At 35.4% G+C, this 27435-nt stretch overlaps 1 protein-coding gene across 9 annotated transcripts in view; it reads right to left on the bottom strand.

Annotated features, from left to right (window-relative positions):
• Positions 1-27435, bottom strand: part of PDS5B (PDS5 cohesin associated factor B) — a 191568-nt gene that overhangs the window by 97700 nt on the left and 66433 nt on the right. For 8 of the 9 annotated variants that reach the window (XM_005266298.5, NM_015032.4, XM_017020452.3 and 5 more), the window contains exons 4-10: positions 21995-22081; positions 21789-21886; positions 21040-21166; positions 12476-12556; positions 6964-7104; positions 4361-4476; positions 1391-1485 (exon numbers count right to left, since the gene is read on the bottom strand). In XM_005266298.5, the coding sequence (XP_005266355.1) occupies positions 1391-1485; positions 4361-4476; positions 6964-7104; positions 12476-12556; positions 21040-21166; positions 21789-21886; positions 21995-22081 (745 nt within the window). Of the gene's footprint in view, positions 1-1390; positions 1486-4360; positions 4477-5574; positions 5705-6963; positions 7105-12475; positions 12557-21039; positions 21167-21788; positions 21887-21994; positions 22082-27435 lie in introns of those variants that run through there. The other variant, XM_011535002.4, reaches the window with a different exon arrangement.

The raw sequence follows: 27435 nt of genomic DNA, 5'->3' as shown, positions 1-27435 counted from the left end.
CTCAGAGTGTTCCAAATAGTTTACAGCTTTTTATTCAGCCCCCCACTCTTAATCATGAGCAGACAGCCACAGATTGCCAATCATTTGAGGAAAGCATATACTCAGGGCTTTCCAAACAGCTTTTGATTTAGCCCCCCCACTCTTAATCATGAGCAGACGGCCTCGGATTGCCAATCATTTGAGGAAAGCCTTTAACATGGAAAAAAAGACAAAAGCAAATATAAGGTGAAAAAAACAAATAGCAGATACAGACATTTTGGAAGAAAAAGAAAAATTCCCCAAAAAACTACCTACCATTGACACTCTCAGAGAAAATACTGTATTAGCAACACAAGAAAAGGATGCTAAAGAAAAAGGAACATCCAGAGAAAAAGGGAAGGAGAAAGGGGAGGTGTAGAAACAGACACACACACACACACACACACACACACACACTCACAGACGAAGAGGAAAGGAGGGAAAAAGAAGGGAGGAGGATGGAAGGGGAGAGCAAAGATGGGAGGAAGAATGGATGGCCCTAAGGTCAATGCTGTAGAGCAGAAGCTCAGAGCAAGCTGTCTAAGCACTGCAAATTTGAGTAGGAAATCAGAAAGCTCCAAGTGGGATGTCTCCCAAAAAGGATGAAACTGGTAAAATATCTGCTGTTTTATTCATTTATTTATTTATTTTTTTTTTTTTTTTGAGATAAAGAGTTTCGCTCTTGTTGACCAGGCTGGAGTGCAATGGCACAATCTCAGCTCACTGCAACCTCTGCCTCCCAGGTTCAAGCAATTCTCCTGCCTCAGCCTCCTGAGTAGCTGGGATTATAGGCGCATGCCATCACACCCAGCTAATTTTTGTATTTTTAGTCGAGACGGGGTTTCATATTGGTCAGCATGGTCTTGATCTCCTGACCTCAGGTGATCTGCCCACCTTGGCCTGTGCTCGGCCTGAAGCTAGAATTTCTACAGCATAGTTCCTACATAGGTTGGAAGCATCTATGAAAATGTCTGTCTCCAGGAACAATTACTAGTTTCTTAGTTTAAGGACAATTCTAAACTTATTTTAGACATTTGGATTTGAACAGGTCTTGACTTTGACTAGATTATAAGACTAATGTTCTTCAATATTTTAAGAACTTAGGTGAGTCATGGTAAACTAATTTAACCAAGGCAGAAGGACAGCTTGAGTTCAGGAGTTCTAAGCAAGCTTGGGCAACATAGCGAGACCTTGTCTCTATTTTAAAAAAAAAAAAAAAAATCTAGCTTCAGAGAACAACTTCCATGACCTTAAACTAAAACAAGACTTCACCTACCACCCCCGAAAAAAGGGGTTTTTTTTCCCCCTATGAAACTTATTTTTTTCCACTGAAGAGCACGTAAGAATATTTGCTGTTACATATATATAGTACCTGTTAAGTCTTTTGCTAAATCAGGATGGTTCATGAGACAATGGCTAGCAAATTTCACACATTCCAGGCGGATTGGTACATGGATATCATTAAACCTGATAAAATATAAAAGCACAGAGTGAGCTTCAAAATAAGAGAAACAGACATGTGTTAAATCTGTACCCAATTTACATTTATCTAATTAAAGAAAAAACAGTTTATGAAGGAAAATGCAAAGTAGAACCAAACCATTTTACAAAGTTTCTGATATACATGTATGTCTGAATGCTCTGGAAACTCTATACAAACTAGAGCAATCTCCTGTGAGAACTATGTGATTTTAAGGAACCTGAATAAACCATATACATTTGGCTCAAATATAAGAATGATAAAAAAGTTCCTATCAACGTTATACTCTCAAATACATCTATTTATGCAAGTGTGCATATATAGTTCATAGAAACATCATAAATCTCAAACTATGTTTGAAAGAAAACTTTCCCTAAAGTATTCCCTTTTAAATATAGGGCATTCACTAATGTATGGCAGATCTCACACTAAACCCTACAGTATATTACATGAATCTAAAAGTGTACCCAAATTACTACTATCCAATTAATCATCACCATTATTACACTGCCACTAACGGCAAGGCCACTTTTTACATTACATCTGTAAATATGTATGTATCCCTAAAAAGTTAAAATTCTTTGGTTGATATGTCACTTAAGCCTCAAATCTTTTGTTTTCCCTCCAACTCTTTTTCCTGTAATTTGCTAGAGCAACTGCTGTATATGTGTATGGTTTTATTCCATAATTTAGATTTCGCTAATTGTATCATTCTGATGTGAATTAACAGGCTCCTCTCTCTTCTAAATCCTGTAAACTGGTAGTTAGATCTAAAAACTTGATTATATTTGGGTCAATTTTTTTTTTTTGCCAGACTACCAAAATACCATAGATGGCACTGTGTTCTTCCATCAGGAAGCACATGATGTTTAGCTGTCTCTCAACCACTGATGTTCCGTCTGTATACATTACTTTATCACAGAATGTAAAATAGTAATTTAAAAAAATTAAGTATCAAGAACATTAAAGTGAATCCAAGATTTTTCCATTCAATATTTTCATATGTCTTAATTCTATGAAATCTAAAGGCTCCCAAATCTTACATCATTCAACACCTAAGAAACTAAAGTTAGCATTATAAAGGAGTGGGAAAAAGTCTTCAAAACCAGCACCAAATTACTCATAAAAATTAGAAAAAAAAAAGCATATGCTCTATGAAGTATACCTCCCCTCCCAAAAGTTATAAAATCTAGCCTCTGGTCCCATACAGCTTCCTGAGTGTTTTGAATTCAGGTACTCAATCCTATATACGTTATCATTTCTCAGGTAAACATGCACCTTACAACAATTAAAAATAAATATACTAAGACGTCTTTTAAAAGACTAACTCCTTAAAGTTGGTATTATTTAATACTGTGTAAGTTTTATGTTATTAATATTAAAAGGAAAAATTACAACATAATAGAAAGGTGACATATACATTTACATTAGGATTTCTCCAGCTAAAAACCAATAAAATACATCCCAGCTAATCCAAGTCTTAATTTAAAGATATAATAAATATATATACAGTAAAAGTATTTTTGTTTTAAAATATTAAACTTTAAATTAAGTTGCATAATTTAAACTGATATTCTTTCCTACTGTCTAAAAACTTTCCATTGTATTTAAAAGAAAAAAGTTGGCTTAACTTGACTGACTGAACGTAATTATTGAGCTAAATAAGAATCAAGAAATCAGACTGGAGATCTGAAGCTTAACAAACACTTATCACAACTTATATCCTCTTTTAACAAATCAGAAAAATGAGACCAAAATATTAAATTTACAGTAATCACTGACAGTTTTCATTAAAATGTAAAGAAAGTGGTCATACCATTGCAAATATTTCAACACAAAGAATATAAAATCAGGGCCTTTAAATCTTTTTTTTTTTTTTTTTTTTTTTTGGAGACAAGAGTCTCGCTCTGTCGCCCAGGCTGGAATGCAGTGGTGCCATCTCAGCTCACTGCAAGCTCCACCTCCCGGGTTCAGGCCATCCTCCTGCCTCAGCCTCCCATGTAGCTGGGACTACAGGTGCCTGCCACCACGCCTGGCTAATTTTTTGTATTTTTAATAGAGACTGGGTTTCACCGTGTTAGCCAGGATGGTCTCGATCTCCTGACCTTGTGATCCACCTGCCTCGGCCTCCCAAAGTGCTAGGATTACAGGCATGAGCCACCGCGCCCGGCCAGATCTTGTTTGTTTATGACTTAACTGCATTATTTGTTATGAGAATAATTTGAGGGGAAAAATTCTCTTTTTTTCTGAGTCAGAGCGGGTTTCGGCCAAGGCACTTGTCGGGCTTTTAATATTTCAAGGTCAGGGATGAATACCTCTCACAGAAAAGTGACATACACAAACACACTCAAAATTCTGCAACCATTTCAGGGATTTTATGCATCATTCAAACCATGCAAGGAATCCAGGCCATCATTTCCTTTAACTGAGTAATACAGAAGGAAGTTAGGAAGAGAAATATAAATAGTCATTTCTTTATTCACTCTGTGAATACTCTTATCCTGTCAATATCTCCAAACAACCTAATTAATTGTAATTAATTTGTAGAGAGGCTATATCTCCCAAAGACGTATTTTCAGTTGGAATTAATCACTGCCTTAAAGTAATAATATTAACTTCATGGTCATAATACCATAAGAGATAGCTTTAAAATGTATTATCTTTTAAAAATTACTGAGGATAAAGACTAAAAAGAGTAAATATAAATATAGCCAGTCATTAACAACTTTCAAAACTTTCAACATAAAAAATCCTTCATTTTTATGATTCCAGAGAACACAGTTTAAATGTGGATAATGTTTCTTAAAAAAACGGTCAGTAGAATAATGTATTACTTTTAAATGGGAAACCAAAATCATATACCTGCCCAAGTAGCACTGCCAAAGTGGCTTGTTTTGAGAAGCCAATTCTGAATCCTTTGCCCCAAACATTTTTGCCAGTAGTTTAACAACTTGTAGGCGCTCCTCATTATCATTGCTCTAAAATAAAACACAATCACAGCTTTAAAACCATGCAGTAGATATTCAGAATAAGGCTGCCCATTCTTTGCCATAATTTCCCTGATGCTCCAATTCCACAGAAAATCTTTCATGAACTCTAAATGAAAAATTACATAAAAATGCTCACTATACTTTTCACAAAATTAAATGTCATCATAAATGCTCTAATTATCTCAAATTCCATTAAAGAAGTACCTTTCATGAAAATACATCTTTAAAGTTTGTTCCAATGTTAGAGGCCCCTCCTACAATTAAAGTTTATTTCTATTCAGAGTTAAAATAAAAAATGAACTCTTATAAAACCTACCCAGGACCCTTGAAAAACTATGTGTGGTTTTTCAGAACAGACACTGACAGAGGCCAGGCCTACAGAAAACAGAAAACTCTGTGTGAATAAACTTTTTAGCTCTATTAGTATGTGCTACAGTCTCCCAGTAAGACACTTCATCTACACAGACCAGATTTCTAAAAGGAGCTCAACAGTAAAAAGAGGCCTTAAACCTGTGAAAACTCAAATTTGTTTTATATATTATATTGGGGGCACCCTAAGGATGTGAACTCAATTTTACTATTGATTTTGGCACTTCCAACAAATGACTCAATGGATAAGTGAATGAGCCAGTCACAATACTAGACTTGAACATAAAGTGTGGGAATTGGGTATATCAAAAGGCACTGATATTCAAGGTGCTATGGAAATGTCACTACACAAATTGTTTTTAAATTTTAAACCAATGCCACAACCTGCCATGCCAAGAGCCCCGACAATATGACCTAACTCATCTCTATTATTTCTTTCTTTATTCGTCTAAGTAATTATATCTCAAGCCTGGCTGTACATTAGAATCATCTCAAAACTTAAAAAAAAAAAATTAAAATAAGAAGAACAAAAAAAAAAAAACCTCTATTCCCCAAAACTCGGAATCAGCTAGTCTGGTTCAGTGCCTGGACAGCTATTTCTTTAAGGCTTAACAAGCAAAGATTCTAATATGCAGCCAGGAGTGATTTAAACTTACTTTATGCTATCTTCCAATTATAATTCTTTGTGTTCCACAAATTCACCCGGAACCTTCCTACCTCTATATGCTTCTGCATGCTGTTTCCTTTGCTTCAATTGTACGCTGTTTGTATCTCTTATGACACTTATAATATCTGGCCTCATATTAGATCTGGATTTTTTTTCCTCTTCCTCTCATACTAGATGTTAAGTTTGCTGAAAGCAGGGATGATAATTTCCTTATTTTTATATTTCTCATAGTGTGTAGGAACATGCATAGCATTTACTCAATATTTTTACTTCAGAAAATCATATAAACCAACAAATAATTAGAGGTGTGGCTACCTGCTGCCTCACCCAAATCACTAACCACATTAAAAAGGGGACAGGAAGGCCAGTTAATTGAATGGCTCATTTGAGAAATATACCAAAAACTACTCCAGAATATAAGAAGAATACTTATTTACTGGCTACTTGGGGTGTTCACATTACCAATGTGGACTGTTTTGTTTTTGAAAGAAAATCAAAAATTTTAGACACAAACATCATTTAAGAACTTTTCTGGGTCCACAAAGATTAATAATTATAACCAGCTTTACTTAATTTTATTGTAATGATTTGAAAAAGAAAACTATATTGTCCAATTCTGCTCAATTTTACAGCATAATTTAATGTCAAAACAGTTAGGAACATGCTACCAAAAAATTTCACTCGGTCAGGGGTGGTGGTTTATGCCTGTAATGTCAACATTGGGAGGCCGAGGCAGGTGGATTACTTGAGGTCAGGAGTTTGAAATCAGCCTGGCCAACATGGTGAAACCCTGTCTCTACCAAAAAATACAAAAATTAGCAGGGGTGGTGGCACAGCCTGTAGTCCCAGCTACTTGGGAGGCTGAGGTGGAAGAGTAGCTTGATCCCGAGAGGCACAGGTTGCAGTGAGCCAAGATCACACCACTGCACTCCAGCCTGGGCAACAAAACAAAAAAAAATCCTGTCTCAAAAAAATAAAAAATTCACACAACTATATAAAAAGCAAACAAACTTTCAACATAGGCAACATGAGATAATATGCATAAAGGGAAAGCATTTCACACTATGTGGATAAAAAACTCTAAACTATTTTTATGGCCTCAGTGGTCAAAGGAACTACTATAAACTGTGCCTTGAAAACATAAGCTTGATGTACAGCTAAGACTTCAAAAGTTAGTCAAATCCTAGAATTTATCTGGAAAATGTCTGGAGGAAAATACCATCTTGCTAATCATTTATTAAACAGTTACTATCTGCTAGGCACCTGCCAGGCACTAAAGATTCACAAACAGACACGGCACAAATACGTGAAGAAATAATAGTAATACTTCCCCCTCATCTCTTACATTCAGTTAAAACTACTGTAAAAATTAAAAAGCTATAAATAATGCTCTTTGCTAATAACTTGGTTGGTAGAATCATATTATTTTTACAAGTTACCTTTAATTTAAATTCAAGCTGGGGTAAAACAGAGAGCAGCAAATGACTATCAATATTGTAGAGCTCCAAAATTAAGTCAAAGACATGCTCTGACAAATCGCTGATAGATGTTTTCCCAAGCATCAGAACCTGATTAAAAAACTTTTGAGGAGAAAGAAAGCCTATCATTAGTAGAAAAACCAGAGACAAGTTGAATGTTTTAAAATCTTATTTGACCAAATTCATCATTATTTTATACAAAGTCAAACTAGGCATATCAAAATATTTTCTAACATTATATGGGAAACCAATATAGGCTACATGAAAGATAAAACATGGAATCCATCTTGTATACAATAAAACAGACTGAAACATTTCAATAAACATTCTACTTTTCAAATATACTCTGCTCCCCATTATAATACTGATTATATTCTATCCTATATTATTTGTGCATATTTCTGGATGGTTAATTTTATGTGTCAACTTGACTGCATTAAGGGATACCTAGATAGCTGGTAAAGCAACGTGTCTTGGGTGTGTCTGCAATGATGTTTGCAGAGGAGATTGGCTTGTAGACTGAGTGGAAAGATCTGCCCTCAGTATGGGCAGGCATCATCCAAATAGGCTGGAAGGCCCAATAGAACAAAAAGGCAAAGGAAAGTGAATTCACTCTCCTCTGGGCTGGGACATTCATCTCCTATCCTTGGACAGCAGAACTCCAGGTTTTCCTGCCTTTGGACTCCAGAAATTGCACCAATAGCCCAGTCCCCTGCTAGGTTCTCAAGCCTTGCCTTCTGCCTCTGAGAGTAACACCATTGGCTTCCCTGGTTCTCCAGCTTGCAGACAGCCTACTCTCGGACTTCTCAGACTCTGTAATCTCATAAGTCAATTCCCCTAATAAATTCCCTCTCATACATATACATGTGTCTCTGTGTGTGTGTATACATACACTATGTGTGAATATACACACATATATGTATATGTGTGTCTGTATATACATACACTCACTCAATATTGGCTGTTTCTCTAGAAGACCCTAATACAATGTCTTAATCTCCCAAGGGTGAGGGATAATAGCTTGTTCACCTTAGTACATATGGAAGAAAACATCATCCCATAGATACAGCCTTCTTACATTTTCATAGAAGGCAATTCTATGTTTGAAATATGTAATTTTTTATTTTTGATGAAAAACTACCTCTTCCTAATCCTTTGTCTTCTTTTACATTCTGATGTGTACATATCTACACGGTTTACAACACTAATTAAAATCCAATTAAAAGCACACACAAACACAAGGAAAATCCAAATTTAAACAATTTTTCCCTACCATATAGCTAGCTCTAACTAGTTTCCACACTCAGATCATTTATCATATTACTACTGAAATTGGCAAAGATGCATGGCATAACTGTCAAGTTTCTTTCTATATAAAATCTTCCAAAAACATAAAAAATTAACCAAAAGCATACCCTGCCATGTATCCTCAATGGTTTCCTGAGTCTCAGCGGAGAAGGAGTCAAGGATTCTTTATACCACACAAGCTGCCCTAATCTCTTCTGTGACAGTTAACACACAACTGGCTTAATTAGGCTTTAGCTTTCTATACTGAAAGTACAGAGTGGAGGATTTCATATTTCTATGTCTTTTCTGCTTACTTTTACTTCTTGGGTTGTTTTTATGTGACTTTTTTAGGTCTATGAATCAGACCAGACTACCTAGCCATGAAGAAAGAAGAACAAATTCTATTTTGCTATTCTTTCTTTTTTGGTTTTAAAAAGAACTTGTTTGTCCTTCCTATTTATCAATTTTATGGGAAGAGAATTTCATGACATCAAAGGTTAATTTCTTATTCAGGCTGAAAATAAAGTGGCTTTTTTGCTTCCATTCACAAATTTTCTCCTGCTTAAAAAATAGTAAAACAAGTACTATTTACTTAATAAATAGTATATTCCTTAATAAAGAACAATAATCCTTCCCAATCTCACCACCCAAGTGGTCAAACCATCATCATCTTCTTCTAACAGTCTGGGAAAAACTTATTTGAAAAATTAAGGGAAAAAAATCATTCCCTGGTTTAATTTCTCACAAATTCCATAAAAAAACACATGTATTGAACACTTTTATAATCTCCAAAAAGGCAATGACCAAGTTGGTCTTCTCCAATGTGTAAAAGCCTACCTAGCACAGTGCCTGACACAGAGGAGGCATAGAATATATGTTTGGTAAATGAATAAAAAATATGCAAAAGACAGTATGATACAAATATGGGTAAAACAATCCAAGTCCTTCCTAAGAGGTGAAAATTTAGTGGAGGTAGATTTAGATTTGATTAAAATATTTCCTTCCAAAAATTCTTTCATTTACAAAAGCGTAGCTAATTACATACTACAAATTAATTTTTTTGTACAGCAAATGTCTCCTAATGAAAGATGTCACCAGTCAGTAATAAATTCTACCTTACATTTACATGGCTAATTTTAATTACAAAATATTTCACATTAAATAACACATTCTCCACCACCACCCAAGCATTGCAGGTGCAAAAACAGAGGCTCAGTGGAATTAAGCAATTTAACCAAATTTTACCTATTCCAACAAGGATTGGATGTACTTTTTTCAGTCCAACAAAATAATTTTTTGCCATATCCTAAAATTTGTGATAAAAAAAGAACTGGTGAAAAATAACATCATTAAGAAGTGATGCGTGTAGGAAATTTTTAGAATTATCACCATGTACTTTTTGTTCTTGATATTCCATCTTACCTTTTAAACAAATATATATGTACTGTTTAGCTTCCTGGATTGTTGTGTTACAACAAATTCTATTTAAAAAAAAATAACCTAGGCTGGGCATGGTGGTTCACGCCTATAATCTTAGCACTTTGAGAGGCCAAGGCAGGCGGACTGCTTGAGCTCAGCAATTCAAGAACAGCCTGGGCAACATGGTGAAACCCTGTCTCTACAAAAAGTTTTTTAAAAAAGGAAAAATTCACCAGACATGGTGTTTCATTCCTGTAGTCCCAGCTACTCAGGAGGCTGAAGTGAGAGGATCACTTGAGCCTCAGAGGCAGAGGTTGCAGTGTAACAAGATCACACCACTGAACTCCAGCCTGGGTGACAGAGCAAGACTCTGTCTCAAACAACAACAACAACAAATTTTAATACATAAATAACCTATACCACCACAGTGATTTCTTAAGTCTTGATATGTAAGAAATACTATCGAATAAAAAAAAAAAAGAATGTGTCTGTATGTGTGAATGAAAAAGAAAAACAGAAGAGAGAAGTGGGGTTATTATCTCAGTATCTTACTCCTATTTTTAATTGTTAATTCTCAACTAGGAGGATGAGTAAATAATAGCTGTTTTAACTGTAAGTCCAAAAGGGCTAAGAATGATTTCTAAGACTGAACTAATTTTACCCTACTACAAGACGATTAAGTCCACTAGAAAGTGATTTTACATGTAATTATAAAGGTCTGAAATGGAAACATAAGTAGACAAAAAGGAACTAAAGGGAGGGAAAAAGCAATTCTTATTTTCTAGCTAACCTTCAAATAAGGCAAGGAACAAGAAAACAGGGAGAAATAAGAAAATAGTGGACAACGTACTGAGACAAAGTATATAATTCAATGTGTACTCAGAACACTCTGGCCCCTGCTCCCCAGCTTTTGATAAAGACATAATATGAAAGTTTGGGGAGTTCATGGGGGAAGGATTCTATTTCTGCAAGCAAGAACAACAGGAAATTAACACAAGGTATAAGTGATAAAGAAATGTTTTTACCTTGATGTATTCTGGGATTGTTAAAAATATTTCCTCAGCCTTTTTTTCTTTATTTAACTTCCATTATAAACATTTTCAAACATACAAAATTTGAGAGAACAGTATAACGAACCTAATCATCTAACTCTAACAAGTATCATCATTTATTGTGGGTTTTTTCCTTTAATTGCCCCAATCAAATATTGATTTTCCCCAATAACAGTAGAGATATCAATACAGTATAGCGTTCTTTTCTTATTTTTATGCCAGAAAAAGAAATCAAAATAAGATGTGTCCCCCCTCCCCTCCAAAAAAAAAGAAAAAAAAAAACTGGCTTGGCAATATGAGTTTAAATAAATGGCCACCAGGAGGAGCTCACCTAGTGTGCTCTAATGGCCCATGGAAATAGTCATTTAGAAGTACTTGAAGCAAGGGAAAAGGATAATTACAGAATGTTTTAAGTCTAGGTCTACACACTTCAAGTGCCACTAAGCCAATGATGAAAAAACTCAATCCAACCAATTTATTTCAGCCAGTACCCGTAACTTACAAAACTGCAGAAACCAGTATTGGAAGTTCCCTGAAAATCTTGGAGCAATTAAGATAGATTACAGATTTGATTCCACAGCTTCTGAAAGTTTACCCTTCAAAACAATTTCTTACAAATTAAATTAATTTTTCCAAATCATCGTATGCTTGGGATTCTCTAAGGCTATAAGCCAGAAACAAAAGCTGGAATTTATTAAGTTACTGTTTTATGAAGTAGTTAGTTTTCAAAGTACATCTTTTCATGATATATTTCATACACTGACTTTAAATTTGTGTATACTACAAGAAAAACTCTCCCTCAAATTTTAGGAGAATGCATAAGTAATTATTAAAGGCTTTCTTTCTTACTTTACTCAGGAATGCAAATTTATATCCTTTACTTGTCTGGAGGTGAGTGAAACTGAAAAGCAGGTGGAGGGACTGAACTGTTACACAATTCCAAGGGCCACCATTAACACTGTACTCTACATTTGTATTCCAGGAGGCACCATTCACACAGAATATAATATGAATACTGCCACCTAAATCTGTAGAACTCAAAAGAACTGTGGAGAGAAAATAAAACTTACCATAAACTTCTGTCAGTGAACCTAGCAGCTAAAAAATATTTCTTCTAAAAATAAATACAAGATAGTCAACCATAAGTAAGTAGATTTGGGGTGATACTGAAAGGTCTCATTTTATTACAATTGTTCCTTTTTTCCAGAAAAGATAGATTTATATGGAATCTACCCCAGGAATAGCAATAGATAAGCAACTTTTACTAAATCACTACTGCCATTCATACTTGCCTTCAATTTCTAGGTCTTAATATTAGTTCATATCTTCTTCTTGTACAAATCAATTTAAGCTCCAAAAACCTGTAAGCAACGTCTCTGAATAATGAAAAGTTCCATATGTTTTATCTAATTACATTTAACTCTATTTCTATCAGTAGAAACAAACAGAATATCTTGCTAACCAAAATAAAACTGTTTAAGTTCTCAGGCAATTTGAAAGAAGATAAAAGAACAAATAGGATGAGAGCAAGCCTTCCAAAAAATATAAAGCAAGAATAATTTTAAGAAGGAGAAAGAAAATATATTACTTAAGGGTTAAAACAACACAAATTTGTTGTTTTTAAAACTATATACTATCTGATGAAATTTTGCTTCTAGCAAGTCTTTAAATTTTCAGTTTAATCCTTCTGACAACCAATTACAAGTAAGACTTACATTGGTAATATATGGCTCAATAGCTTGAGCTGTCCTCTTCAGTAAAGCCTTTGCCAAATCATATGCTTGCTTGTTTAAATTCTGAAAAACATAAACAATATCTATATTATATATCTCTAACTATGAAAAGCAAAATATTACCTGTATTCAAAATGCTACTTGAGTAAATGAATGAAAAAACTAAGACTCAATTGGAATAAAAGAGAGAAGGCAAAACCACTTTTCTTTTTTTAGGACTAACTGGCCTACTGGATCTAAGATTCCATCCACGTAAGGATAATTATATTCTCTTCCTATTTTGTTCATAACATAATGTAAACCACACAGAAATGGTCAATAAATGCTTATTAGATAGAGTCACTCTAGATCTAGTCCCAAAATCAATTCAGTTAAGTACAAATACAAGCTGTTCCACTTCAGGTCCAAAAAACACAAAATATCCTAAGAGAATGAACTATGTTCTAGTGTGGGCAGCGATGGGCATCCCATAGGCGGGGAGGGACAAAGGAGTTTTGGGCAGCTGTAAAAAAGCAGATTACTCAAACACATTTCAGAGCACAGGTAAGTCAAAGGATACAACAGGAAATACAACAAATAGTAAAGTACGGGCGGAAGATAACAAGAAAAAACATCATAAGAAGCTATGTTTCTAAGAGACTTTGATAATGATACAAGGAAGTAAAGATAAAAAATGGAGTCACTACCCCAGTTTAAACATATTCCAGAGAACAGGAACACTGTATATATCCTTAAACTCACACTCTTTACTCAGCATATTTTTAGATTTACCTGCCTTAATGCTTGTATTTTATTATTTCATTCATACTAACTGCTGTTTAGATATACTAGATTCTTTACTGATTGTCCTATTCATTGACATTAAATTATATGTCTTGTACAAGTCTCCTTGTGTAAATGAGAAGTAATTTTCTGTACATTTTATCTTTGCCATTTTTCAGTTAGGCTGTTTAGTCTTGCTTTTATTTATTTTTATATTTTCTCCATAGATTCTATGGACTAAACTTTCATCAATTATAGATGTTTCTTGACTTATGATGAAGTTACATCTCAATAAACCCACAGTAAGTCAAAATGCATTTAATACCCCAATAAACCATTATAAAGTAAGTCAAACCATTAAGTCAGGAACTGTCTGTACATGTATAACACACCTTAGTCTATACTTGTCTTTTCACAATATTTATGGTGTCAAAGTATGGAGACTTTTTTTCATTTTTTTTTTTATGGATATGTAACAACTATGCTTATTCTGGGGATACATGTGCTATTTTGATACATGTATACACTGAATGATAGTCGAATCAAGGTACCTGACATATCCATCACCTCAAATATTTATGTTTTCTTTGTCCTGGGAACATTACAAATCTTCTCTTTTAGCTATTTTGAAATATAAATTATTGTTAACTATAATTTCCCTACTGTACTATCAAATACTAGAAAGAGGATGGGCACTGTGGCTCACACTTGTAATCCCAGCAATTTGGGAGGCAGAGGCAGGTGGATCACCTGAGGCCAGGAGTGCGAGACCAAGCCTGGTCAACATGGCAAAACCCCGTCTCCAATAAAAATAAAATCAGCCGGGCGTGGTGGCGGATGCCTATACTCCCAGCTACTTGGGAGGCTGAGGCAGAAGAATTGCTTGAACCTGGGAGGCAGAGGTTGCAGTGAGCTGAGATTGCACCACTGCACTCCAGCCTGGGTGACAGAGTGAGACTCCATCTCAAAAAACAAACAAACAAACAAATACTAGAAAGAACTATGCCTTCTATCTAACTGTATTTTTGTACTCCTTAATTTCACTTCATTCCTCCCCTCCCCAGTTCCTTTCCCAGTCTCTGATAACCACCATTCTATTCTCTACTTCCATGAGACCTTTCTTTAGCCCCCACGAGTGAAAACATATTTGTCTTCCTGTTCTCATTTTATATCACTTTACAAAATAACCTCCAGTTCCATCCATGCTGCCGCAAATGACAGAATTTCATTTTTTTATGGCTGGAATAATATTCCATTGTATACATATACCACAATTTCTTTATACACTCATCCATTGATAGACACAGTTCAATTCCATATATTGGTTACCACAAATAGCTTTTATTTTTAATGTAATCAAATTTATCAGTCTGTTCTCATACGGCTTTGCTCTCTATAGCTTTCTTAAGAAATTCATTCCTATCTTGAGGTTGTAAAGATGTTTATTTTCTTTTTTTTTTTTTTTTTTTTTTTTTTGAGTCGGAGTCTCGCTCTGTCGCCCAGGATGGAGTGCAGTGGAACAATCTCAACTCACTGCAAGCTCTGCCTCCCGGGTTCACACCATTCTCCTGCCTCAGCCTCCAAAGTAGCTGGGACTACAGGCGCCCGCCACCACGCCCAGCTAATTTTTTGTATTTAGTAGAGACAGGGTTTCACTGTGTTAGCCAGGATGGTCTTGATCTCCTGACCTCGTGATCTGCCCGCCTCGGCCTCCCAAAGTGCTGGGATTACAGACTTGAGCCACTGTGCCCAGCCCCCAAAGACGTTTATTTTCAAACAAAATTTTAAAAACTTACTTTTCACATTTAGACCTTTATTGCACCTGTAATTTATTCTTATGTATGGTCTAAGTAGCTAATTTTTATTATTTTCCATATAAGTGCTAAACTGTCCTAAAACCATTCATTAAATAATTTCTTATTCCCCCTTTGATAACTTGTAATACCCACTCTCTCTCAGCTTCTACATAAGGATGCCTTCATTCAGAAATTCTCCATTATTTCCATATGTCCCTTTGTCTATCACTGACTGATTATAGCCAAAGGGACACATGAAAATAATGTCAAGATTAGGTCCCTGTTTTCTTATTCTTCTTCAAAACTGTTTGGCTATTATTGGTCATTTGCTCTTTCACATCAGTTTTAGATTCATCTTGTCAAATTACACACAAGTGCACATGCTATCACTTTCTTTTTTTTTTCTTTTTCCCTTTTTGAGACAGAGTCTCACTTGGTCACCCAGGCTGGAGTGCCGTGGTGTGATCACAGCTCACTGCAGCCTTGACCTCCCTGCAAGCGATCCTCCCACCTCAGCCTCCCAAGTCACTGGGACTACAGACATGCGTCACTTGCCCAGCTAATTTTTCTAGAGACAGGGTTTTGCCATGTTGTTCAGGCTGGTCTCAAACTCCTGAGCTCAAGTGATTCCCCTGCCTCGGCTTCCCAAAGTGCTGGGATAATGAGAGAGAGCTAGTGAGCCTGGCCTCGGTTTCTATTTTTGATTGAATTATTGATCAGTATGCAGAAGATTGACATCATTATGATACTAAGTCTCCCCTTCCATAAACAGTAAATCTCTCAACATATGTAAGTCTTCTATTATGCTTTTCAGTCAATTATAACAATTTTCAACATAAAGGTGATACACATTACGGTTAAATTTCTAAGTACCTCACATCTTTGTTAAAGCTACAAATGAAAATTTTTTGAAATTATGCTAGAAGGTTTTTGTACCTTATGTCTCACAACCTTCTAGAATGTTCTTATATTTTCTATAAATTTGTCTGTACACCATTTTGTGTTTTCTGCACAATCATATTTCAGTTCAGTTTCTTCCAATCCTCTTATATTGTATGTCTTGTCTTATTCCACTAATATAACACACCTACTATAATGAGGATTAAAAATAGCATGCTTAAGATATGGAACCAATCTAACTGTCCACTGACTGATGAGTGGATAAAGAAAACATGGTATATATACACCATGGAATACTACTCAGCGATAAAAAGAATGAAATAATGTCTTTTGCAGCAACTTGGATGGAGCTGGAGGCCATTATTCTAAGTGAAGTAACTCAGGAATGGGAAACCAAATACTGTGTGTTCTCATTTATAAGTGGAAACAAAACTATAGGTACACAAAGGCACACAGAGTGATATAATGGACTACAGGGAATCAGAAGGCAGAGAGGGAACAAGAGACAAAAAACACATTGTGTACACATTGGGTACAATGTACACTTCTCAGGTGACAGGGGCACTAAAAGCTCAGACTTCACCACTATACAATTCATCCATGTAACCAAAAACCACCTGTACCCCAAAAGCTACTGAAATTTCAAAATATATAAATAAATACAAATTTTTTTTAAAGCATGTTTGCCTTTTTGCCTGAACAGAAGCAGTATTTTTACAATGTTCCTCACATCAAAGAGAATGCTTCAACATTTCACCATTAAATACTGTATCATACATATCTCCTTATCAATTTAAGTTCTATTTCAAATTTGCTAAGTTATAAATTACAATGAATTGTATCCATCTTTTTCTATATCTATTAAAATTTGTCTTTCTCTTTGATCTATTAAACAAGTATCTTAGTCTATCACTAACATAATGTTAATCCATCCTTGTATTCCTAAAATAAAGCCAATTTGGTGATTATCAATAGTATTTTAAATCATTCTGGAAATTACTATTTTATATTGGGAATCAATTAGCCTTTTTTTTTTTTTCTTGCTTGGTTTGCACCTGGTTTCCCTAGGAAGATTATTCTCTGCTCATAAAATGAGTTATGGAGTAGTCCTTTCTATAATCTGGAAGTGTGCTGAAAGTTAGGAATATTTGCCACTTAAATAATCAACAGAAATCCCTGGTAACGGGTTTACAGGTTCTTTTGTTGTTGGTTTGAGTTCTGCTGCTGTAATTATTTTTGCTGCTATTATCGTTGCTATTGTTGTTTGAAAAGAAGAGTTTTGTTTTATAGGCAGAGTTTTTAAAACCAACTAAATGTATTGGTTATAGGCTATTTGTCTTGATTTTCTCTCAAGACAAATTTGCCAGGTTATATTTTCTAGGAATTTATTCTAATTTCAAATATGTTAGCATAAAATATTCCTCATGGAATTGTCTTTTGATCTTTTTCATGTCCATTGTTTCTCATTTCATTCTAAAACTGTACATAGACACCATTTCCTTTTTTGTGATCTAGCTTTCCAAGCATTTGCTTATTTAAAACATTTTTCAAATTACTAACTTAGGGTTTTGATGGAATGTCACTGTGTTTTCTATTTCACTAATTTCATTTATTCACTACTTTCTTCCTTGTATAATTTGTTTATTCTCATGTTTTTATTACTCCTTGAAATGTACATTTAGCCATGGAGTTACACTTAAAAGTGTATCCTGCAAGTTTTAATATGTATCACTTAATTATCATTTCTAAATATTTTAACTGCCATTATGACTTAATGTTTTGTCAGATTACATGCTTGCTATTAGTGGTTTTGTGTTTCAAATCCTCAATATTTTTATAAACTCAGTTTACCTGATTTATAATCACTAAAATACATGTTAAAATGGAACACAAATAGTGAATTTGCTTCTTTCTGTTAATTATGCTTGTTATTAAATTAGTAGTTTTGTTTCAAATCCTCAATATTTTTATAAACTCAGTTTACCTGATTTATAGTCACTAAAACACATGTTAAAATGGAACACGAATAGTGAATTTGCTTCTTTCTGTCCGTAATTCTTTCAATTTGTGCTTTATATATTTTGAGCCTGTGTGCACACAAGTTTAGATATCTTCCTGGGTACTGAATCTTTTCTCATTATATAAAACTCTTCTTTATCCATTAAAGACTACTATGTCTAATATAAGCTATCTTGGTTTTCTTTTGGTTTATATTTGCCTGGCAAGTACTTTTCCCATCCTTTTATATTCGACCTTTTGTGAGTGTGTTTTATTTGTATTTCTTAGTAAAAATAATCACCCAGATTATGTTCAATCCAATCTGAGAACCTGTCTTACATGGTAAATACAGGTCATTTACATTTACTGTAACTCTTCCTTTTATTATAATCCTTAAAATTTTAACATAAATGGTTCATTTAAAGTTCAAACTTAATAGCTCCAAATACTCCTGATCATCCCAGGATCATATCACTTACTAATTCCATTAAACCACTCTATTTTACATAAGATTCATTTATTCTCTAACACTGCAAATGAGAAGTCAGTAATCAGTTTAGCATTCATTCCTTGGTAAGGGCCATGCCTTTACATTCTGGGTGCTTTATATATGATTTCTCTTTCAGTATTCCACAATTTCAGGATGGGCCTGGACAAGGATTTCCTCTTTTTATTTTTTTTTTACTCTAGTCATGGTACTTTTTCTCACTAATCCATAAATTAACGGCTTTAACCAATTCTGGAATATTTCAAGCTAACTTCTACTTGAATATCATCTCTTCTCAATTCTCCATTTGTTATTCTGAAATCACTATTAAATATGTCAGACCTTACCTTTCATGTTTCATCTCACTGTGCCTGTATAATTTCCTCACATCTATCCCAGTTCTCTAAATATGTTTTACATATAATTCAATCAAGGTTTATATTTTGGTGGTCATTTTTCTTTTTCTTTTTCTGTTTTTTTTTTTTTTTTTTTTTTTTTGAGACAGAGTCTCACTCTGTCACCCAGGCTTGAGTGTGCAGTCGCACAATCTCAGCTCACTGTAACCTCCACCTCTCAGGTTCAAGCAATTCTCCTGCCTCAGCCTCCTGAGTAGCTGGGATTATAAGCGCATGCTGCCACGCCTGGCTAATTTTTGTAATTTTAGTAAAGACAGGGTTTCACCATGTTGGCCAGGCTGGTCTTGAACTCCTGGCCTCAGGTGATCCACCCACCTTGGTTTCCCAAAGTGCTGGGATTACAGGTATGAGCTACTGCACCCAGCCATTTTTCATTGCTAATGAGTTTTTCTCCTAATTTTCTCCTTTAATATGTCTAGTTATTACATTTTTTACCTCTTATCATTACTCCTTTCAAGAGTATTTATAATTTTTTTTAAAAATTTTGTCAGAATGTTTTATTCAGTGTCATTCACTAAACTACAAGGAGCTATGCAAGTTATGCAAAGGGCTGCAAAACAGTAATTGCCTTGAGAAATTTCCACCCTAAGCTAAATGGACTAAGCAAAAGATTGAATCTATAAGTACTTGGTGGAAAGATTCCAGCTCCTGTACTTAGAGACAGGAAGTTTGGAAGATCCTATGATTCTAGTTTCTGGAAGTACCTACAGGTCCTCTCCCTACAACAAGGCCAAGGAGAAAATGTTTAATCAGGAAGGGTGGGTTTATTTTCCCCAACAAAGTCTTCTCCACGACAATCAACGGATGGAGGCCTCAGATGCCTCTGGTAGTCAGCTGCTCAGTGCAGAAAGCCAAGCTAGATACTCGATTTGTGTCTAGGAGGGTTTGTCTTGGCACAGTTGACAAGTGGTTGAGGGTTCCAGAGAGCTAGGCTGAGAGTCCAGTCAGGCACAGCCCATTTGAAAGGCTTAGCAGGTCTCCCCTGGGAATTCAGTCCTCCTCCCTAGGGCATTCTGTGGCTGGATTCATGACCTCTGCCTTCTCACCTGAGCACACAGGCAGTAGAGCTTGTGGCATCAGGCCAGGTGTTCATTTGCCCAGCAGAAGTCACTAGCTGGGCCCCAGGCTGATTTTTACAGCTCATTTAATAAAATGGATTAATGGGGATTATAACTAGATGTGGGCACCAAGGTGAAGGAGACGATGGGAAGAGCCTCTGCAGGTCTACTTGCCAGCTTCCCCCTTCTCTCCTGTGGTCACCAGAGGCAGAAGTGAGGCTGGGCTGGGTAGAGTCAGGACATGGTGGGCTGCATTCAGAAGGTGCAGCAGGAAGGAGTGAGGGGTGGGAAGAGGAGCAAGATGGCAGCTGACTAGGAACCCACAGCACACCAGGACCTGTAGATTTTATTTAATAAATATATTATCTGAATTTCTGAACTCTAATCTTGCTATTTGTAGTGTCTGCTAAGTTTCAGGATTCAGAGACTGTTTTCTTTAAGAGTTTGGAATTTTTGAATTATGAGATCATTTTCACTGAACCATTATTCATGTCAGTCTCTACACTGAGATTATATCTTGCCAGAGAGGTCTTATATTTGCACAGATAACTACACTGGTGATTCCTGTCCTCCTCTCCTTAACCCAAACCCCTTCTAAATAACAGAACCGTATTTCTAACTGAAGATTCAGTCATTTTCTAAAATCAAAACACAAACACACACAAAAACATACAAACATAACATCTTAATTAATCACGCAGGCAAGAAACACTGTCACCAACATATCACTCCTCTCCCATTTAGTAGAGACTTCCCTTTAAATTTCACCAGTCCTCTCTATCTACATTATCACTATCTTTTAGTTATGGCCCTACTTGGTTCCATCTTCTGACAAGTAAGTTATGTAACAGCATCTAAGTAGCTACTACTAACTCACTCCCTGAAATACACTCCATATGCAACTGAATTATAACAAATATGTTATTACATGAAATCTACAATTTCTTATTAGTTATTAAGTGTATCTTTTTATTACACATTAATCACAATAAATATGTATTAATATAACTAAACCAACAGATTCTCTAAAAGATTAAAGCAGGATAAACCATATTTAGAACCTAAGCACAAATTTTAAGCCTTAATATTAACGGGCATTAGACACATTACAGTATACATTGCTACTCACCTTATGAGCAGGTACCAGATTTACTAAAACCGTATCCAAAAGCTCCTGAGACACTGTATCACCTTCACAAATAATAGAGCTCATAAGGTCTACCATGTGCATATGGACTTTCTGATTGTGGCCATTGCTGCAATTCAAAACAGATTTTGTTTCAATTACAACTGAGATATACAGGATTTACTCTTAAGATGACACTGACAAGCATTATGCTTTACAAAAATAATACTAAAATATTAAATAAAATTCTATGTATATTCATTTAAAGCTTCCCTCTCTCCCACATCATACAAAAGTATACAAATTATATTTTTACACTACATTTCTTAGATTTTTCCCTAATTTTTAACCAGTCTCACAATCAAAAGTAATTACATCAAAAGCAACTTCAGTTCTGCCTTAAATTCAGAAAATTGAATTGCTCTGAAGTTAATTCCAGTAAATAATTTTAAAGCATACACAAAAAGCTCAAATAGCCATATGCATTAAGAAGTCAGTATGTATGTTTTATAGACAAATAATGCAATCCAAAAAAATTTTACACTGGCCTTATGCCACTCCTCTAACCAATAATTACATATAATACAAAATTAAGCTCTATTCATTTTTGAAACATGTATAAAAATAAAGTGTGTTAAAAGTTACATCTCTCAGCCTTCTAATATTCATTGTAACAGTTTATGCAGATTCACCTACAAGTTCAAAATTTGTTACCTTTTTTTAATGTTACATACTTAATAAAATAAACTTACTTTATAACTGAAAATAAGGTTCTGTATAGCTGGGTGAAAATTTCATTGCTATCTTCTAACTCAAAGCATATGTTATATGACTTGACCCAAGCAATGTTCTAAAAATAAGGTGTAAAAAAGTGAAAGTTAAGCATTTTGATTATTAAAAATATACAAACAAAAAAATCAGTTTAAAATGTCATCTCAAGATACAAGATATTGCTTACCTCAAGTAAATAAAAATACCTATTGAATTGTGGGCTCTTTGTATCCTCTAGCCCCTTCAACTGTCTTGTTATAAACATAAATATATCCTTAAATAAAAAAAGACAAAGTGCCATTTAGATTATGAACGCTAAATGAAAATAACCATGAAACTCCAAGAGTTTATTCAGCACTCATGTGTACATATCATAATAAACTATAAAGAACCAGAAAAAAATTTTATTTGGCTAAAATTTTTTAAAAGTACACCTTTATATGAACAACATTAAATATCTTACTATCCTTCATAGGAAAACAGTAAATCATTTGCCATAATCTTAAAGTCAAAAAACTTCATCTTATAGCAAAAGTTAAACAAATAAACCTGAAAAGTGAGATAGCTAAAATTTATGCTATTTTTAGAATAAAAAATGTTGCAATGACTGAGAGCTGATCAGGTTTCCTGGAACAGTAAAATATATGGTAATTAAATAGCAAGAGCAGTTTAGGAAACAATTTTTTTTAATTGCCAAATGACAATACAATAGATACCACAGAGAAGCTTAGACTCTTAGAAGTCAACTTGTCAAGCTTCCTACCAATCATTGTAATTACCTGCTTTTCCCCATCTTTCTAAATCTATTCCCATCTCATATTTTTGACTTATTACTATATCTGCATTTGTATCTACATTTGTATAAAGCAACCACACAATCAAGTCTGCATAATAACCAGCTAACAACATGATGACAGGACCAAACCAGCACATACCAATATTAACCGTGAATGTAAACACATTAAATGCCTCAATTAAAAGGTGCAGTGTGGTCAGTTGGTTAAAGAAGCAAGGCCCAACTGTATGCTGTCTACAAGAGACTCGTTTCATATGCAACGACACTGATAGGGTCAAAGTAAAGGGATGGAGAAAAATCTACCAAGCAAACAGAAAACAGAAGAAAGCAGGGGTTGCTATTCTAATTTCAGACAAAACAGGCTTTAAACCAACAATGACAAAGAAGAGCATTACATACTGATAAAGGGTTCAATTCAACAAGAAAACCTAACTATCCTAAAAATATATGCATCCAACAAAGGAACACACAGATTCATAAAGCAAGTTCTTAGAGACTTATGAAGAGACATAGATAATGACACAATAATAGTGGGAGGCTTTAACACTCCACTGACAGAATTAGATTATTGGGGCAGACAACTAACAAAGATATTCAGACCTAAACTCAGCATTTGACCAAATGGGCCTAACAGACATCTACAGAACTCTCCATTCAAAACAACAGAATATACATTCTTCTCATCTGCACATGGCACATACTCTAAAACTGACCACATAATAAGCCATAAAACAATCTTCAGCAAATTTTTAAAATGTGATTCACCACATAATGATGACCACATATGTTGAAGTTGACAGCCAAATCAAGAACAGAATACCAGCCAGGCACAGTGGCTCAGCCTGTAATCCCAGCACTTTGGAAAGCCAAGGCGGGTGGATGGCTTGAGCCCAGGAGTTCAAGACCAGCCTGGCCAACATGGCAAAACCCCATCTCTACTAAAAATACGAAAATTAGCCAGGCATGGTGGCATGTGCTTGCAGTCCCAGCTACTCAGGAGGCTGAGACAGGAGAATTGCTTGTACCCAGGAGGCAAAGACTGTAGTGAGCCAAGATTGTGCTACTGCACTCCAGCCTGGGTGACAGAGCCAGACTTTGTCTTTTAAAAAAAAAAAAAAAAAGCCACAAAAAGAATAAAATACCTAGGAATACAGCTACCCAAGGTGGTAAAAGACCTCCACAACAAGAATTACAAAACATTGCTCAAAGAAACCACAGATGACACAACAAATGGAAAATCATTCCATGTTCATGGATAGGAAGAATCAATGTTACTAAAAAGGCCATGCTGTCCAAAGCAATTTACTGAATTAAATGCTATTCCTATCAAACTACCAAGAACATTCTTCACAAAATTAGAAAAAACTACCTTAAAATGTCTATGGAATCAAAAGGGACCCCAAACAGCCAAGGCAATCCTAAGCAAAAAAAAAAAAAAAAAAAGAAGCTGGAGACATCACATTACCCAACTTTAAAGTATACTACAAGGCTACAGTAACCAAAACAGCATGGTACTGGTACAAAAACAGACACATACAACAATGGAACATAACAGAAAGTCCAGAAATAATGCTACACACCTACAACCATCTGATTTTCAACAAAAGCACAAAAACAAGCAATGAGGAAAGGACTCCCTATTCAATAAATGGTGCTGGGATAACTAGCTAGTCATATGCAGAAGACTGAAACTGGACCCTTTCCTCAAACCACATACAAAAATCAACTCATGATGGATTAAAGACTTAAATGTAAAACCTAAAACTATAAAATCCCTGGAAGATGACCTAGGAAATACCATTCTGGACATAGGACCTGGCAAAGATTTCATGATGAAGATGTCAAAACCAACTGCAACAAAAACAAAAATTGACAAATGAGACCTAATTAAACTAAAAAGCTTCTGCACAGCAAAATAGAGTTAAGAGACAACCTACAGAATGGGAGAAAATATTTGCAAACCATATATTGAACAAAGGTCTAATATCAAGAAGGTATAAGGAACTTAATTAACAAGCAAAAAACAATCCCATTAAAAAGAGGGCAGGCCGGGTGCAGTGGCTCATGCCTGTAATCCCAGTACTTTGGGAGGCCAAGGCGGGCAGATCACAAGGTCAGGAGTTCAAGACCAGCCCAGTCAACGTGGTAAAACCACTCTACTAATACAAAAATTAGCTGGGCGTGGTGACGGGCACCTGTAATCCCAGCTACTGGGGAGGCTGAGGGAGGAGAATCACATGAACCTGAGAAACGGAGGTTGCAGTGAGCCAAGATCGCACCACTGCACTCCAGCCTGAGCAACGGTGTGAAACTCCATCTAAAAAAAAAAAAAAAAAAAAAAATATATATATATATATGGCAAAGAACATGAAGAGATACTTTTCAAAAGAAGATGTACGTATGGCCAACATGCATATGAAAAAATGCTCAACATCACTGATTAGAGAAATGCAAATCAAAACCACAACAAGATATCATCTCGTACCAGTCAGAATGGCTATTGTTAAAAAGTCAAAAAAAAAATGACAGATGCTGGCAAGGTTGCAGAGAAAAGGAAGTGCTGATACATCACTGGTGGGAATATAAATTAGTTCAGCCATTGTGGAAAACAGTTTGGCAATTTCTCAAAGAACTGAAAACAGGACTACCATTTGACCCAGCAATCCCATTATTGGGTATATAACCAAAGGAATATAAATCATTCTACCATAAAGACGCATGTATGCATATGTTCGTAGCAGCACTATTCACAATAGCAAAGACATGGAATCAACCTAAATGCCATTCAACAGTAAAATGGATAAAGAAAATATTTCATATACACCATGGACTATTACACAGCCATAAAAAATGAGATTATGTCCTGTGCAGCAACATGGATGCCACTGGAAGCCATTATCCTAAGCAAACAAATGCAGGAAGAGAAAACCAAATACCACATGTTCTCACTTATCACCAGGAGCTAAACATTGAGTACATATGAACACAAAGAAGAGAACAGACACCAGCATCTTCTTGACGGTGGAGGGTGGGAGGAGGGTGAGGATCGGAAAACTACCTATTGGGAACCATGCTTTTACCTGGGTGACAAAATAATCTGTACACCAAACCCTCATGACATGTAATTTACCTACATAACAAACCTGCAAATGTACCCCTGCACCTAAAACACAATTTTTTAAAAAAAAAGGTTACTTAAAACAAAAAAAGTTACTTTGATAGTAGTACTGTGGAAAATATGTTCTCTATGAATGAACCCTTCCTGGATTGCTGAAAGAGTACACACGCCATATTGACCCTATGTAGCGATGGAAAGACAACAGTCACTTATAACCTCACCAATTACTGCCTAAACATGAAGCCAACTGTATAAAAGGGGTTTGCTGATGACAATAACTAACTGAAAGTGGAAAGGTAAGGCTCAAATATCACAATTTTCTAATCTGTATACAACACTACTGTAGACAAAATATATAGACATACAGATATACGAATTTGCCGCTAATCAAGACGAAGTGAAATCTCTTAAATATTTAGAAAGCACCCTCAAAGTCAGTAATTTTAAGTACTATCCCCCAAAAAGAAAAAAGAGGCATTTAGAATAAGACTCAAAAATTCATCAGAAAAACCAAATACTTAACATTTTTCAGCTAGGGAATAATGCACAAAGACCCTAATTTCAGCTCTTTTACAGTCTTCTCATAAATTGTCCTGTTAGAAACAGAACAGATATGTAGCTATTCTTTAGGGAGAATTTCTCGTTACCCCCAAAGCCCTGAAATAGGTCCTTGATTATGCAAACTGAAAGATCCCCAAGAGAGATAAATAAATTGTACAGTAGCAGTCTTAAGTTAGACTTCCTCGTCATGAGAATGCCAACAAGACATCTAGTACGGGAGAGCCACAGCCACTATCAAACAAATGGAATCATTCCTTAAACCAATTAAGTATCTCCAAATGAGAAATTCACATTTAGAAATCAAGCTAGTACCTGGGTATACAACTACATGGACCAGCTCATGTTATCTACTTTAAGTCTCCGACCATTCTCAAATCTTACAATTCAATACCACCTTTAAATGACAAATATTGCCCTCTACCTCCCTCATCCTAAGATTCTTTCACCAATCAAAATTTAAAACAAGCATGCCCAAAACAGGTTGCACATCCTCTACTTGAATTGTGGTAGACTTGATCAAATAAGCACATTCCTCACTTCAGTTATCAAGAACTCCATGAGTCCAAGAACCATGCCTGGGTTTTTTTCACCACTGTAAATCCAGTTCCTGACACATAAGTAACAGCAAGACTTATTAAGTGAAATAAATATAAATTGCCTGCCATTTTTTCACACTGTGGATTAATAATCTTTCTATGGACTCATTCTCTAACCCATAGTTTCCACAATTATCTTTTTTTTGTTTTGTTTTCTGAGACTCTCGCTGTGTTGGCCAGGCTGGAGTGCAGCGGCGCAATCTCACTCCATCCCCCACCTCCCAGGTTCAAGTGATTCTCCTGTCTCAGCCTCCACAGTAGCTGGGGTTACAGTCATGTGCCAACACAGCCGGCTAATTTTTGTATTTTGAGTAGAGATGAAGTTTCACCATGTTGGCCAGGCTGGTTTCGAACTCCTGACCTCAGGTGATCGGCCCACCTCAGCCTCCCAAAGTGCACAGGTGTGAGCCACCGCACCCAGACTCCACAATTATCTTTTATTGTTGCTGTTTTTAATTCCTACCTGATCTGCCTTATAAACATTCAGTATCTTTTGCACAACTCTAATTACTTCATGCTTTCTACCAGCATTTTCCTAAAAAGATTACTCGTGCTAT

This window comes from Homo sapiens, chromosome 13, assembly GCF_000001405.40.
Source record: "Homo sapiens chromosome 13, GRCh38.p14 Primary Assembly".
NCBI lineage: Eukaryota > Metazoa > Chordata > Mammalia > Primates > Hominidae > Homo > Homo sapiens.
The sequence above is the reverse complement of the archived record's forward strand: the minus strand, read 5'-3'. Positions and strand labels throughout refer to the sequence as shown.